Genomic DNA, 12,749 nt, shown 5'->3' on the forward strand with positions numbered 1-12,749 from the left:
TCCTGGCATGTCTACATTATTAAAAGGGTCTCTTTGCATGAGTTAGCAGAATGTAGTGCCCTCTCGTGAATGAGAAAAGCCGCCCAGTCCTGATTGCAGCCTCATAATGGGTCTGAAATGACAAGTGTGAAGCAGTGGGCAGAGCCAAGACCACCTTTATTTGTGCATCCGTGCTCTTGGGTGGGTATGTTTCACACAGTTTGTTGTCCTTCTGTCCCTTGCCCATGAGGCCTTAGAAACTCAGCTTGTCTCCACCCATTCCTCTACAACCCACACAACAACTTGTAACCTTTTAATCTTCTTTGCTTCCTAAAGATGCAACTCATGCCACCTCCCCCAGGAAGTTCTCCCTGACTTCCAATCTTTAGAATAGGCTGCCAGAGATCCCTGTGTTAACTGTGAACAGAGCCCTTTTCATCCTCTTGCATCAGAATTCCTGTCTCATCCACTCGACTGAACTTCTTGGGTAGGAATGGAGGTGTGTTTTTTTTTTGTTTTGTTTTTGTTTTTTTGTTTGTTTTTAAGATGGAGTCTCACTCTGTTGCCCAGGCTGGAGTGCAGTGGCACGATCTCGGCTCACTGCAAGCTCCGCCTCCTGGGTTCATGCCATTCTCCTGCCTCAGCCTCCCGAGTAGCTGGAACTACAGGCGCCCACCACCACGCCTGGTTAATTTTCTGTATTTTTAGTAGAGACGGGGTTTCACTGTGTTAGCCAGGATGGTCTCGATCTCCTGACCTCGTGATCCACCTGCCTCGGCCTCCCAAAGTGCTGGGATTACAGGCGTGAGCTACCACGCCCGGCCGGAGGTGTGTTTTACATGCATCTCACTGCCTGGGACAGCGCCTGGAACCTAGCAGGTGTTTTATGTGTGGGGGGTGTTGGTTGTAGTAGTGGGGAAAGGTTTCTTAAATGAGGTGTGTTTAGAATTTAGCCCTTTGCAGGGTATAAAATCTGAGAAATAAGGTGTGTGTTGTGACGAGGGATGGCACTGGGGGCCTGCCTAAAGCACTGGCTTCATTGTGGGGGCTGAGGTGGCTTGTTTCCTTGGAGCTAATGGTCAGAGTGAGGAGCTGGGGACTGAGCTTGGATCTAGATTATTGTTGCATGAATGGCCTAAATGAAGAGTGTTTTCTCAAGTCCCTATAGAAGAGGGAGATCCTCATGGCTTTCAAGGAGTCATGCCCAAGATACAGGAATGGCTCTCTGGTGGACTGGCTGGGACAGAGGGGAGAGGGTGAAAGTGGGGAGGAGGAGGAAGTTTAACAGTATTTGAAGCATTTGAAAGCCTAGACCCATCGTACGCTGAAACAGAGAAGAATGGCTAGCCAAAAATACTGTGTGAGTCTAGGAACTTAAGAATGCTAGTCCTTGACCCCAAACATACTTATATAGCAGACTCAACATTATTGTCTTCCACCTACCGGATGGGATTATGCAAGTGATATGACCCAGAGCATTCTGGAAGCCGGCAGGGGCATAAATAATACATTAGATATGCAGATGAACTGCCCAGGGTGTCTCTGGTCTTGGGAAGAATTCTTAGTAGACCTGAGATAATTGCAGAACAGAGTGTCCTGTTTTCCCATCCACAGCCTCCAGGCCTGGCGAGGATTTTGTGTTCAAAAGAGATTTCCAAGGTGGACATCTCTCTGACACTGGCGATTTTTCTCTCTCACTTGAACAAAACTCGGCGGAAAGGTCACTCCTATTTGTCTTAGCTTCTCTGTCACATCCCACCCACACTTTGAAAGGTCTGTTCTTAGCGGGGTCCCAGGAAGGCTGTGCTGGCCCTGTCAGCCCTGAGCTGGGTGGTAGTCCTTTATCAGAGATACCCATGAGAATCACTCACCCTGGAGCCTTTCCCAAGCACACATCGTGGACCCCTCCAGGGCTGCACATGTGCTTTGTAAGGGCTCTTCAGGTGACTGGAGCTTTAAGAGCTACTGAACTAAGTGGTAATAAAAGTGAACAAAGTAACCAGTCTGGAAATGTCAGTAGAATGGAAAGAAAGAACAGGTGGGAGAGTTCTCCATTTTTTCACGGTAAGACCCGGTTACTTGGCTTTTGTTGAGTCCCTGGTGGGTGTCCATGGTGTCTTTGGCCTTATCTCCCTACTAAACAGGATTACCTGTGTGGGGCACCTTTCCTGGTCTCCTCTCTCTCCAAGGAGCAGGTAGTACTTGGAGGCCGTGGTTAATCACATTTCCTAAGTGAGCTTTTCCTTTCTAGAATGATCCTTGCTCTTACCCTTGCATTCCTACTGCATGTTCCCTCAGGCTGAAGCCTTCCTTTACATGTGAGCATTCTCCTGGATCAACTCCCTGATGACTGGAGCCTGTGCCGTGTGTTTCCAAGTTGCACCCACCACCCACGGAGACTAGCTCATGGCCGAGTGGCAGCTGGTGTAGCTGATAGCTGTGTGGGAAATGGGTCTGCACAATATAAAGACAGCTCACAGGAAAGGGGCCCCAAATGGTACTCTCTTTTTTTTTGAGATGTTGCCCAGGCTGGAGTGCAGTGGCGCAATCTCGGCTCACTGCAACCTCTGCCTTCCGGATTCAAGCGATTCTCCTGCCTCACCCTCCCAAGTAGCTGGGATTACAGGTGCCTGCCACCACACCCAGCAAATTTTTTTTTTTTTTGTATTTTTGGTAGAGATGGGGTTTCGCCATTTGGGACAGGCTGGTCTTGAACTCCTGTCCTCAGGTGATCCGCCCACCTCGGCCTCCCAAAGTGCTGGGATTACAAGCGTGAGCCATTGCACATGGCCTTTTTTTTTTTTTTTTTTTTTTGTTGTTGTTGTTGTTGTTGAGATGGAGTATTGCTTTGTTGCCCAGGCTGGAGTGCAGTGGTGAGATCTCAGCTCACTGCAACCTCCGCTTCCCAGGTTCAAGCAATTCTCCTGCCTCAGCCTCTGGAGTGGCTAGGATTATAGGCGCCCACCACCACACCTGGCTAATTTTTGTACTTTTAGTAGAGACAGGGTTTCACCATGTTGGCCAGGATAGTCGAACTCTTGGCCCCAAATGACACTTTGATAAGTTGCTCTACCCAATCCTAAAAAAGGAAATACAGATAAAAAATACCAACGTTGTATAATACACATGTTGTTGATGCGCTCTGTTGTTGGCAAAAGCTGTGTTGCTGGACGGAATGCAAGTGGATGTGGCCCTTTGGGAAGAATTATGGCCTTTTGGCATTCTCTATCCAAACTACAAAAGCATGTGCCCTTTGACCTGGCCATCTCATGTTGGGACATTGGGATATTTCCCCTACAGAGATAACCTATAGATATTTGTAGGAAAAGAACAGTGCCCAAGGTTATTCATGGAACATTTTTATAAAAGCAAAAGACTGGGAGTAACTCAAACATCTGTGAGTTGAAGACTGGCAAATGATGACACATTGTGCTAGGCAAGATGCGGAAAGGAATAAGGAAGTGCTGTGTGCACAAACACGGGGAGATCTCAGGATGTATTGTTGACACAAAAAGCACAATGTGGAGCGGGGAGTATGGCATGCCATCTTTTCTGTAAAAAAAAAGCATGGGTGTAGAGGGGATGTAAAAATGTGTCTTTGCACAAACTCTGTTAGGATGCACAGGAAACCAACACAAGTGGTGGCCTGTGCGTGGTGGGAGGAGGGAGATGCAGGGAGGGGAGACTGGGTTAGGGAGGAAGATGCATGAAGAAGATTTTTTTTTTCTTTTCAGAGATAAGGTTTCACTCTGTGGCCCAGGCTGGAGTGCAGTGGTGTGATCATAGCTTGCTGCAACCTCAGACTATGAAGGAGACTCTTGATTGCGTATCTTTGGGTATCATTTGAATTTTGAAGCATGAATATATTGAAATCGGGAGCAGCTCAAACATTGAGTATATTATCTATCATACATTTAATTTAAAAAGTTTATAACCTTGTCATGATTAGGCTGGGGTTATGCATTTTTAGGAGGGAGACCCCAGAGGTAAAACGTCAGTTCTTATCACATGTCAAGGTTATGTTCTATTCACGCGACTGATATAAATCCCGGTTGCATATCCCTATAATACACCTGACCAAAGCCAGGTGTGGTGGCATGTGCCTGTAGTCTCAGCTACTGGGGAGGCTGAGGCAGGGGGTTGCTTGAGCCCAGGAATTCGAGGCCAGCCTGGGCAACATAGCAAGACCTCATCTCTCCAAAACCACAAATTTGGCTGGGCGCAGTGGCTCACGCCTGTAATCCCAGCACTTTGGGAGGCTGAGGTGGGCGGATCACCTGAGGTCGGGAGTTCAAGACCAGCCTGACCAACATGGAGAAACCCCATCCCTACTAAAAATACAAAATTAGCCGGGCGTGGTGGCACATGCCTGTAATCCCAGCTACTTGGGAGGCTGAGGCAGGAGAATCGCTTGAACCCGGGAGGCAGAGGTTGCAGTGAGCTGAGATCGCGCCATTGCACTCCAGCCTGGGCAACAAGACCGAAACTCCGTCTCAGATAAAAAACAAACAAACAAACAAAAAAGGCCAACAAATTTGACCAATACTCCTCAAAACTGGAAAAGCTGGTGACCACCACCCCTAGTGCTCCAATAAAGGGCTGTGGGAACAGTTGTGCTCAGGGTGGTACTGGTACAGCCTGGCAGAGGACATGATGCTTGCATAGTGTGGAAAGGCCCTCTGAGATATTGCTGGGCCTTAGGGGAGGAGGTCCAGGCCTAGAGAGGACTGAAGCCCTCCCCAGGGCATGGTGTGGACCACGCTGAAGGGAGGTGGGGTTGGAGACACAGCTGGGAGTCAGATCCCAGGGGCTCTCCTGTGTGATGCTGAATTGCTGGGAAGGGGATGCCAGCTAGTCTCTTTCTCTGTGCCAACCCTGATTGGTTGGGTGGCTGCTGAGAGCCTTATGGTGCCCTGGCTCAGTAGGAAGAGTGTGTGTTCATTTAGTGAGTTTGCCAAAGACAAGGGAAGGGGGTTAGAGAGTAGGTGGCAGATAATGCCGGCCTGGGGATCCTGGAGGTTTTAGGCTGGCAGACCCTGGCTGAGGCTGTTTTCTGTTCTTTTCCTTAGGCCTTGGGAGACCTTTACCTTTTCAGTGCCTCTAAGACAGGGTCAGAGCAGTTTGGTGACAAAGTGGAAGTAAACCATGGGTGAAAAACAGCTCTGGGGACCCTCATAGGCTTCCACTTATTGAGGATTAGGCAGAACTTGCAGCTTGGCCCAGCTTTCGAAACAAGGTGTTCCCAGGAGGTGGAAAGACTGGTTTTCAATCAGATAAAGGTAGGATCCTATGAAAAACTCCTAGGGCCTTGCCGTTCCTATGAAGTGGTAGCTATCATTCACACTCCTAGTTATGCCATCGAGGTAAAAAGAGGTGGAATAAGAATCAGGGACACTTGAAAATAAGAAAAGAGAAAGACTGCGTGCATGTGCATGGGTGCACAGCCTGTACATATGTGTGTGTGTGCCCCTGCGTGCACGTGCATGGGTGCACAGCCTGTACATATGTGTGTGTGTGCCCCTGCGTGCACGTGCGTGGGTGCACAGCCTGTACATATGTGTGTGTGTGCCCCTGCGTGCACGTGCGTGGGTGCACAGCCTGTACATATGTGTGTGTGTGCCCCTGCGTGCACGTGCGTGGGTGCACAGCCTGTACATATGTGTGTGTGTGCTCCTGCGTGCACGTGCGTGGGTGCACAGCCTGTACATATGTGTGTGTGTGCTCCTGCGTGCACGTGCGTGGGTGCACAGCCTGTACATATGTGTGTGTGTGCTCCTGCGTGCACGTGCGTGGGTGCACAGCCTGTACATATGTGTATTTGTGCTCCTGTGTGCACGTGCATGGGTGCACAGCCTGTACATATGTGTATGTGTGCTCCTGCTTGCATATGCATGGGTACACAGCCTGTAACTACATGTGTGTGAGCCTGTGGGTATGTGAGGGGAGTGAGGGACCCTGAGGGACTAGAAACTTCCTTAAAGGCCATTTGAGAGAGTGCTGCTTTCTATACCACCCACCCTAGGGCAGTTAGGCAAAGGTGTGCCTCCCTTTAAGAGGACCTAGCGGTCGGTCTGGTTTACAACATAGGTTATCAGGGAGTAGTACTTTGGCCTGGAAAAGGAACCTTTATTTTGGAAAAGATTTGTAATCTCTGTGGCTTGTTTGATACACATTGGAAACCTGACTGGAAACTCAGGCCACCAGCATCTGTTGGGGGCACATGTTTGCACTTTTGGTTATGATGCCACGGCCCTGGTTCAGGTATCCTAAAGAAGATAATTAATGATGAAAATGATTGGTGTAGATTTCATACCACAGAGCACTGTGGTTTGTATAGTAAGACACAGTGATGGTGTGGACCCATGCACAGCCAGCTTTGCAGATGTTAAGAATAGCGACTTTGCCTGACATAATTGGTGTCTGCACATGGGATTAAACAAGTAAGATTGATGTGAATTTTATTCTTTCATTTTTTATGTAGACTCACTGATTGGGTAACTGTGGAAATAATGTCACAGTGCCTTTTTAAGTTAAGAACATGTAGTTGTGATCAGGAGCGGTGGCTCACGCCTGTAATCCCAGCAGTTTGGGAGGCTGAAGTGGGTGGATCACCTGAGGTCAGGAGTTCAAGACCAGCCTGGCCAACATGGCAAAACCCCGCCTCTACTAAAAATACAAAAAGTAGGTGGGCGCCTGTAATTCCAGCTACTGGGGAGGCTGAGGCAGGAGAATCACTTGAACCCAGGAGCTGGAGATTGCAATGAGCCAAGATCGTGCCATAGCACTCCACTTTGGGTGATAGAGGGAGACTCTGTCTCAAAAAAAAAAATTAAAAAAAAATAAAAAAAGATAAAATGTAGTTATGAAAAGATTTCTAAGCATTTTTAAGCATTTTATATTAAAACAGGAATTCAGAACAAATCAAAACGAAACAATAAAACTGGGGATGAAGGAAACTCAATTTTAAATATAAACTTTGGCAGGTGGGTGGTGAATCCGGGTGTTGTGAGTCATTTGCTGGCTTGTTTGTCACATGGCCTGCTCTATAAGTGTCACCCTAATTGATGTATTCGTTTGGAGTGGGTGCTCTTCTGAGGTTTTTGTTTCCCCCTTTCTTTGGGGTGCACTGTGTGTGCATGGTAAGAACAAGGGCCATGGAATTAGAGAATCTTGAGTTTCTAATGCAAATTCAGTTCCAAGCAGTGTGACCTGGTTGTTTAACTCCTTTGAGCCACCCCCGCCCATGGCCCTCATCTGTACCCTGAGGATAATAGTGTGGGCTTTGCAGGCTTTTGGTGAGCAAGTGAGATGATGTAGCAAAACACCCAGCCCAGAGCCTAGCACCAATTGGTCTGTAATCCATGCTGCACGGACACAGCCATTCTCTGGATGTGGCCTCTTCTGCCTCCACTGTGAGGTCAGAGACTGAGTCACTGCAGGAGTAACCTCTCCTTGGCAAGCAGCGGGAGTCATTTCATCCCAGCCTTTCAGGAGGGTGAATCTGCACCTGGGGTCCAGAGTCTCAGAGATGAGACGTGAGCCAGGCGCTGATTCATCATGATGCAGGCTGTGGAGACTCTAGCCATGGTTTCTCCATGCAGGAGTGAGGTTGGGATAAGGGGTCTTTCTGGGGGCTCTGTGCTCTGTGGCCCCTGCTGCTCCGGACTGGTTCATTGGAGAAACCTGTCACATTCTCTAGACCGGTTGCCACGCCATGCTCACAGTCTCTGTTCTTGCCTTCCTAGGTGGGAAGTGAGTGATGACCCTGAAGTGAGGACTCATCTCTAGATCTCCAAGGGCTGCAGCTCAGCCAGCACTTTACAAGGGTGATCTGGAGCCAAACTGGCCTGTTGGCTGACCATAGGTGACTCTGGGTAGCCCATACCCAGGCTCAGCAGCAGTTGGGGAGCTGCCTCGATTTCTGGTTACAGAATTCCTGGAACTGAGTCACTGCAGTAATTGCTGTGATGAATTGTGTTTACTTTGTGTGGGATTCCAAACTGTAGCAGCAGTGACTACAGCTGGAAGACAGCATGATCAGCAGCTTCCAAGGCAGAGCCTGGCGTCAGAAAGCTGCATTGCGCTAATGCTGAAGCCTGTGGGAGCCTGTTGGAGAGACACTTGGATGTTTAGCGAGCTGGTGACTCTCCTTGTCATGAGTAAGCTTAGGACCTTGGGCAAGTCATCCAAACTCTTCTGGGCAAGTCATTCTCCTGCTTGGATGCCTTGAGGCAGAGAGGCAGTGAGGTGAAGTGGTCAGTGCGTCGACTCTGCCTCTAGCCTGCTGGGGTTTGAATCCACCTGTGTGATGTTGTATGATATTGACCTTTCTGGCTCTCAGCATCCTCTTGTGTGAAATAGGAGATTTTAACAGTATCTATTTCGTAGGGTTGGTGTTTGAATGAGTTAACATATGTAAAGTGAATGGTACAGTGCCTGGCTTCCTGGCAAGATTGCTATCAGGATTAAGGCAGGTTAAGCCCTTGGCACACACTAAGAGCTCAATAAATGTGAGCTGATGTTATTGGTCCTTTATTACTATTCAAGAAGCCTGCCCAGCCCTCCTCCCTCTCCATCCACACAGCAGCCTGGTACCCGCTGTTCTCTAGGTTCTGGACACACGTTATGACATGTTCTGATGATCTGGCTTAGACAGTGGGGCCCTCGAGGTAGGCCCAGAGGACTTGGTCCTCACTGCCTCTGTGGCGCCTTGCACTGGGTCCAGCTGACGTGGAGAGAGACTCAGGAAACAGTGGCTGAGTGTGACTTTGGCTGGCATAGTGGTTGCTGAGAGAACAGACAAGGTTCTCTCTCACGACATACAGATTTCAGATCAGGGAAAGTCCCAGCTGGCATAAGTTTATCGAGCATCTCCCATGGACAAGATCAGCTGTGGGTGGAGCCTTGAAGTACATGGTAGAAGGACAGCGAGTCTTCCCAGGCCAGGGCTTCAAGTGAGGAGACAAGATATAGCCTCCCAGAGAATTCCTATAATGCAATCGTGAAAGAACCATACCCAGCAGGAGGCCGGGGAAAGTGACTCCTGCAACTCTAGGAAGGCTTCCTGGAAGAGGTGGAACGTGAGCAGCATAGGATTTTGAGAGAAGAAATGGAATGGGCTGAGGGAGATTCTGCTGGTGGAGGTTCAGGTTGACCTAAGGGCTGGCAGCAGTGGAGGCCCCCCACGAGTGAGTTTGAGGGGCCTCTTTAGCTCAGTCCAGTTGAGGCAGCAGAGCCTTTCCATAGGGGTGTGGTGTGACCTGAATGTTGGGCACGTGGTCGTAACTGAGCTTTAAAAGTGAATGAGAGGAGCCATGCGTGATGGCTCGAGCCTGTAATCCCAGCACTTTGGGAGATCAAAGCTGGGGGATCACCTGAGGTCAGGAGTTCGAGACCAACCTGGGCAACATGGTGAAACCCTGTCTGTACTAAAAATACAAAAATCAGTTGGGTGTGGTGGTGGGTGCCTGTAATCCCAGCTACTCAGGAGGCTGAGGCAGGAGAATCGCTCCAACCTGGGAGGCAGAGACTGTAATGAGCCAAGATTGTGCTGCTCTACTCTAGCCTGTCTCAAAACAAAAAACAAGAAACAAAAACAAAACAAAACAAAAAAACACTGTCTCAAAAAAAAAAAGTGAATAAAGAGAGAAGAAAGGCGGGGCACGATGCTTTTTAAGTCTACGAGCATCTTATAGCATTGTTTACATCCCAGCTTTTCACTGACCCTTCCTTTACCCCCGCCCCCATCCCGTGGCCCTTGCTCTGTCCTGCCCTTTCTGTACGGCGTTTTCTCTTCCCGGCTCCTCTGCCCCCAGCCCCACGTGCCAACTTGTTTCAGCCTGGCAAGGAGGCCTGCTGGTATCCCAGCCATTTCCTGCCCCAAGGCCGCCCACCCTCCTCCGATCTAGCATGGCCTTGCCCTCCGTAGGCAGGCCTCACCCCTGCGGCAGCCGGGAAGCAGGGCTCCTGTTTTGCCTGTTTACCCTGGCGCAGGGACAGGTAGATCATGTAGCACTGCTGGGATGCCAGCTGCGTAAGTCTCCGGCAGTGGGCACAGGCGGAGGGCAGGGGGCATTCCTCTGGGCTGACTCGAGCCCGGCCTGCCTGGCACAAGACCCCCTGCTCCTGGAGGCAGCTCAGGGGCTTGCTCATGGCTGCCCTGGCTCTGCGCTGGGCCGCTGAGTCATCGCTCAGCAGTGAGGCCTCTGAGTCACAGTGCAGCCCTGGACTGGACAGTGAGTGCCTTGTGGGACCCTCCTGGGCTTTCCTGTCCCTCAGAGCATTTAAAGGGGTCCCAAATTGTCATGTGACCCTCTCTGATGCCAGAGAGACACTCTAGGTCTTTCGCGCCCTGGTCATTTTACAGAACTGTGGCTGGATGCCAGGCATTCAGAGATACATTCCTCAATCTCGGTCCGCCTTACAGGATCCAGCATCGAAGAGTTCAGTTCAAGTCAGCAGCCGAGTTACAGGAAAGCAGCCAGGGCAATGATTCAGCAAGTCCAGGCAGGAGTGAACCAGGCAAGATTTCGGGAGGAGAGGGCTGGGTCGCGTGTCCTGGCAGGGCCACAGGAAGAGCATACACATCTCCTGCGTCTTCGTATTTTGTGAGTGTCTTGAAATGACCTTGAGAATCTACGCAATACCATGAAGAAGCAGGAGCAGGAATACCATTTATCCATTGGCACAGGGTAGCATGCTCAGTGTGCACTGAGGTTGTGAATTCTTGTCCTGACCCAAAGATGCTGATGCTGTCCTTATACCCATTTCACGGTTGAAGAAACTGAAGGTGTAGTAGGAGAAGATACTGACTCAGAGGCACAGAGTTAGAAAGCAGCATGTCTGGGATTTGACCCCAGACCTGTCTGACTCAGTTTACTATTTTAAACTACCCGATTCAAGTTAAGTTTCTCTCCTCTCTCTCTGTCTCTCTTTCTCCCACGTGGCTGCTGGAATCTTCCCTAAGGACCATAGCTGTCTGCAGTGCAGGAAGCCAACTATTAAGGGGAAACAAAAGTGTTCTTAGGAGTCCTGCTGTCACTGTGGATTGAGCCGGTGAAGCCCTGAGGGATTTCATCGCTGAGGTGGATGGAGAAGCAGCTGGGGGCCTTGGCTGTAAGGACCCCTAAGGGTTAGTGTCTGGAGCTTGGGGGATGGGAATGGGTCCCGGTGTGCGGAAATTGGATGGCTCGCTGACCCCAAGGGGAAACCCTTGTTGACGCTGTAAAGTGTCTTCTGGCCTTAGAGAAACCCTCTAGGGTTCAGGTTCCAGCTTCACCCTCCTTTAGTCAGGTGGCTTTGGGGGGGACATTTCTGCTGGCCCTGGCAGACACTGGACTAGAGCAGTGTTTCTAAAGTGTAGCCCCTTCTCTCTCCCGGGAAGGGAGACAAGTGGGTGAGGGGATTGGAATCTGCATTCATAACACACTCCCCAGGAGAGACTGGAGAGCACCTTTCCCGGTGAACTCCCGTCATGTCAGGCCTCAGCAGACTGAGCGGGAACCCCCACCAGCGAGGTTGCTCAGGACAGCGTTTCTCTTGGGCCTGTGTTTGGAACAAGTATCCTTTGAACTAATCACTAACCTGTGAAAATGGATAGACCTCGTGTGAAAATGAAAATGTCTGGCTTCCCTTCTGAGGAGCGGAGGCATGAAAGGTGTGGCCGGTAGGGGTGGGGGCCCCACACCTGTGCAGCCGCCCTGGCCAGAGCCCACAAGCAGCGTCCCCTGGTCATGCCCCACTCCCTTCTCCATAATCTCGCCCCTCCCTGACCAGGCCACCTGACGTTGCCATTTATATTCAAGTTCATTCCGTTGTTATTCTTTTAGAAAAGAGAGATGAGAAATATTTCTTGTGCCTACATCTTTATCAAAAGTAGAGCAAGAAACTTGAGGACTCTGTTTCTAGAAAAATGAGAGTGGGCATCCCTCTTCTCTGAAAGGAAGAATTTCCATACCTGCCCTCTACCCAATGTGTAGACGAAAGGATGAGTGTCCTTTTGGTGTGTGGAGAGCTTTGATGGGGCATGTGATGTGTAGGGCTTAGGGGGTATGCTGGGGTGGCTGGGAAAGGTGGTTGGGTGTCCTGGGAAGGCTTTTATAGACACTGCGTGGCAGGCCTAGGACTCTAAGTGCTTCCAGCCAGCTGTACATACGTATATATTTTTTTTTCTTTTTTTTTTTTGAGACGGAGTCTTGCTCTGGAGTGCAATGGCATGAACTTGGCTCACTGTAACCTCCGCCTCCCAGGTTCAAGTGATTCTCCTGTCTCAGCCTCCCAAGTAGCTGGGATTACAGGCACCTGCCACCACGCCCAGCTAATTTTGTATTTTTGATAGAGACGGGGTTTCTCCATGTTGGTCAGGCTGGTCTCGAACTCCCGACCTCAGGTGATCCTCCTGCCTCGGCCTTCCAAAGTGCTGGGATTACAGGCGTGAGCTACCACGCCCAGCCCCAGCCAGCTATATTAACTCAATGGAATTCTTGTTGAGGACTAAAATGGAGTTTTTGTTGAAGACTAAATAAGTAAATGACAGTGGAGTATTGTCATTATCCCCATTCAATAGATAAGGAAATTAAGGTTTAGAGAGTCACAGTAACTGGTCCTGGCTACACAGCCAGTCAGGAGCAAGGCTAACATTTAGGCCTAGAGTGCTCTCCTAACCGCTATGCCTGGGGTGAGGAGGGAAACCTTCCATCCTTGTGTCATCCCATTTGATATATTAGTTACTGAAGCTGAAGCTAAAATAATCCGAGGGCTGGGCGAGGTGG

At 49.8% G+C, this 12,749-nt stretch overlaps 1 long non-coding RNA gene across 51 annotated transcripts in view, besides 6 other annotated features; it reads left to right on the forward strand.

Annotated features, from left to right (window-relative positions):
- The window catches only part of PVT1 (Pvt1 oncogene), a 306,733-nt gene that overhangs the window by 49,686 nt on the left and 244,298 nt on the right, over positions 1-12,749 (forward strand). For 6 of the 51 annotated variants that reach the window (NR_186146.1, NR_186119.1, NR_186137.1 and 3 more), the window contains one exon: positions 10,946-11,110. The exons of 44 other annotated variants lie outside the window; for them this stretch is intronic. This is a non-coding gene — a long non-coding RNA (Pvt1 oncogene). The remainder of the gene's footprint in view (positions 1-10,945; positions 11,111-12,749) is intronic. One more of the 51 variants, NR_186121.1, reaches the window with a different exon arrangement.
- Positions 2,298-2,483: a silencer, noted in NCBI's record as "fragment chr8:128858753-128858938 (GRCh37/hg19 assembly coordinates)". NCBI's record gives its function as "represses an EF-1alpha promoter that drives an FKBP-Casp9 reporter gene in an ReSE screen in HepG2 liver carcinoma cells {active_cell/tissue: HepG2}" and the evidence as "EXISTENCE:reporter gene assay evidence [ECO:0000049][PMID:32094911]".
- Positions 5,564-6,181: an enhancer, noted in NCBI's record as "H3K27ac-H3K4me1 hESC enhancer chr8:128862019-128862636 (GRCh37/hg19 assembly coordinates)". NCBI's record gives its function as "activates a minimal SCP1, AML or CMV promoter by ChIP-STARR-seq in naive H9 embryonic stem cells {active_cell/tissue: H9 hESC(naive)}" and the evidence as "EXISTENCE:reporter gene assay evidence [ECO:0000049][PMID:30033119]".
- Positions 7,848-8,697: an enhancer, noted in NCBI's record as "H3K27ac-H3K4me1 hESC enhancer chr8:128864303-128865152 (GRCh37/hg19 assembly coordinates)". NCBI's record gives its function as "activates a minimal SCP1, AML or CMV promoter by ChIP-STARR-seq in naive H9 embryonic stem cells {active_cell/tissue: H9 hESC(naive)}" and the evidence as "EXISTENCE:reporter gene assay evidence [ECO:0000049][PMID:30033119]".
- Positions 9,963-11,162: an enhancer, noted in NCBI's record as "MED14-independent group 3 enhancer chr8:128866418-128867617 (GRCh37/hg19 assembly coordinates)". NCBI's record gives its function as "activates an origin of replication core promoter dependent on BRD2, BRD4, P300/CBP and CDK7 cofactors, and independent of MED14, by STARR-seq in HCT116 cells {active_cell/tissue: HCT116}" and the evidence as "EXISTENCE:reporter gene assay evidence [ECO:0000049][PMID:35650434]".
- Positions 9,963-11,249: a biological region, named in NCBI's record as "MED14-independent group 3 enhancer GRCh37_chr8:128866418-128867617".
- Positions 10,398-11,249: an enhancer, noted in NCBI's record as "OCT4-NANOG-H3K27ac-H3K4me1 hESC enhancer chr8:128866853-128867704 (GRCh37/hg19 assembly coordinates)". NCBI's record gives its function as "activates a minimal SCP1, AML or CMV promoter by ChIP-STARR-seq in naive H9 embryonic stem cells {active_cell/tissue: H9 hESC(naive)}" and the evidence as "EXISTENCE:reporter gene assay evidence [ECO:0000049][PMID:30033119]".

The sequence above is a fragment of the Homo sapiens genome, chromosome 8 (genome assembly GCF_000001405.40).
Source record: "Homo sapiens chromosome 8, GRCh38.p14 Primary Assembly".
NCBI lineage: Eukaryota > Metazoa > Chordata > Mammalia > Primates > Hominidae > Homo > Homo sapiens.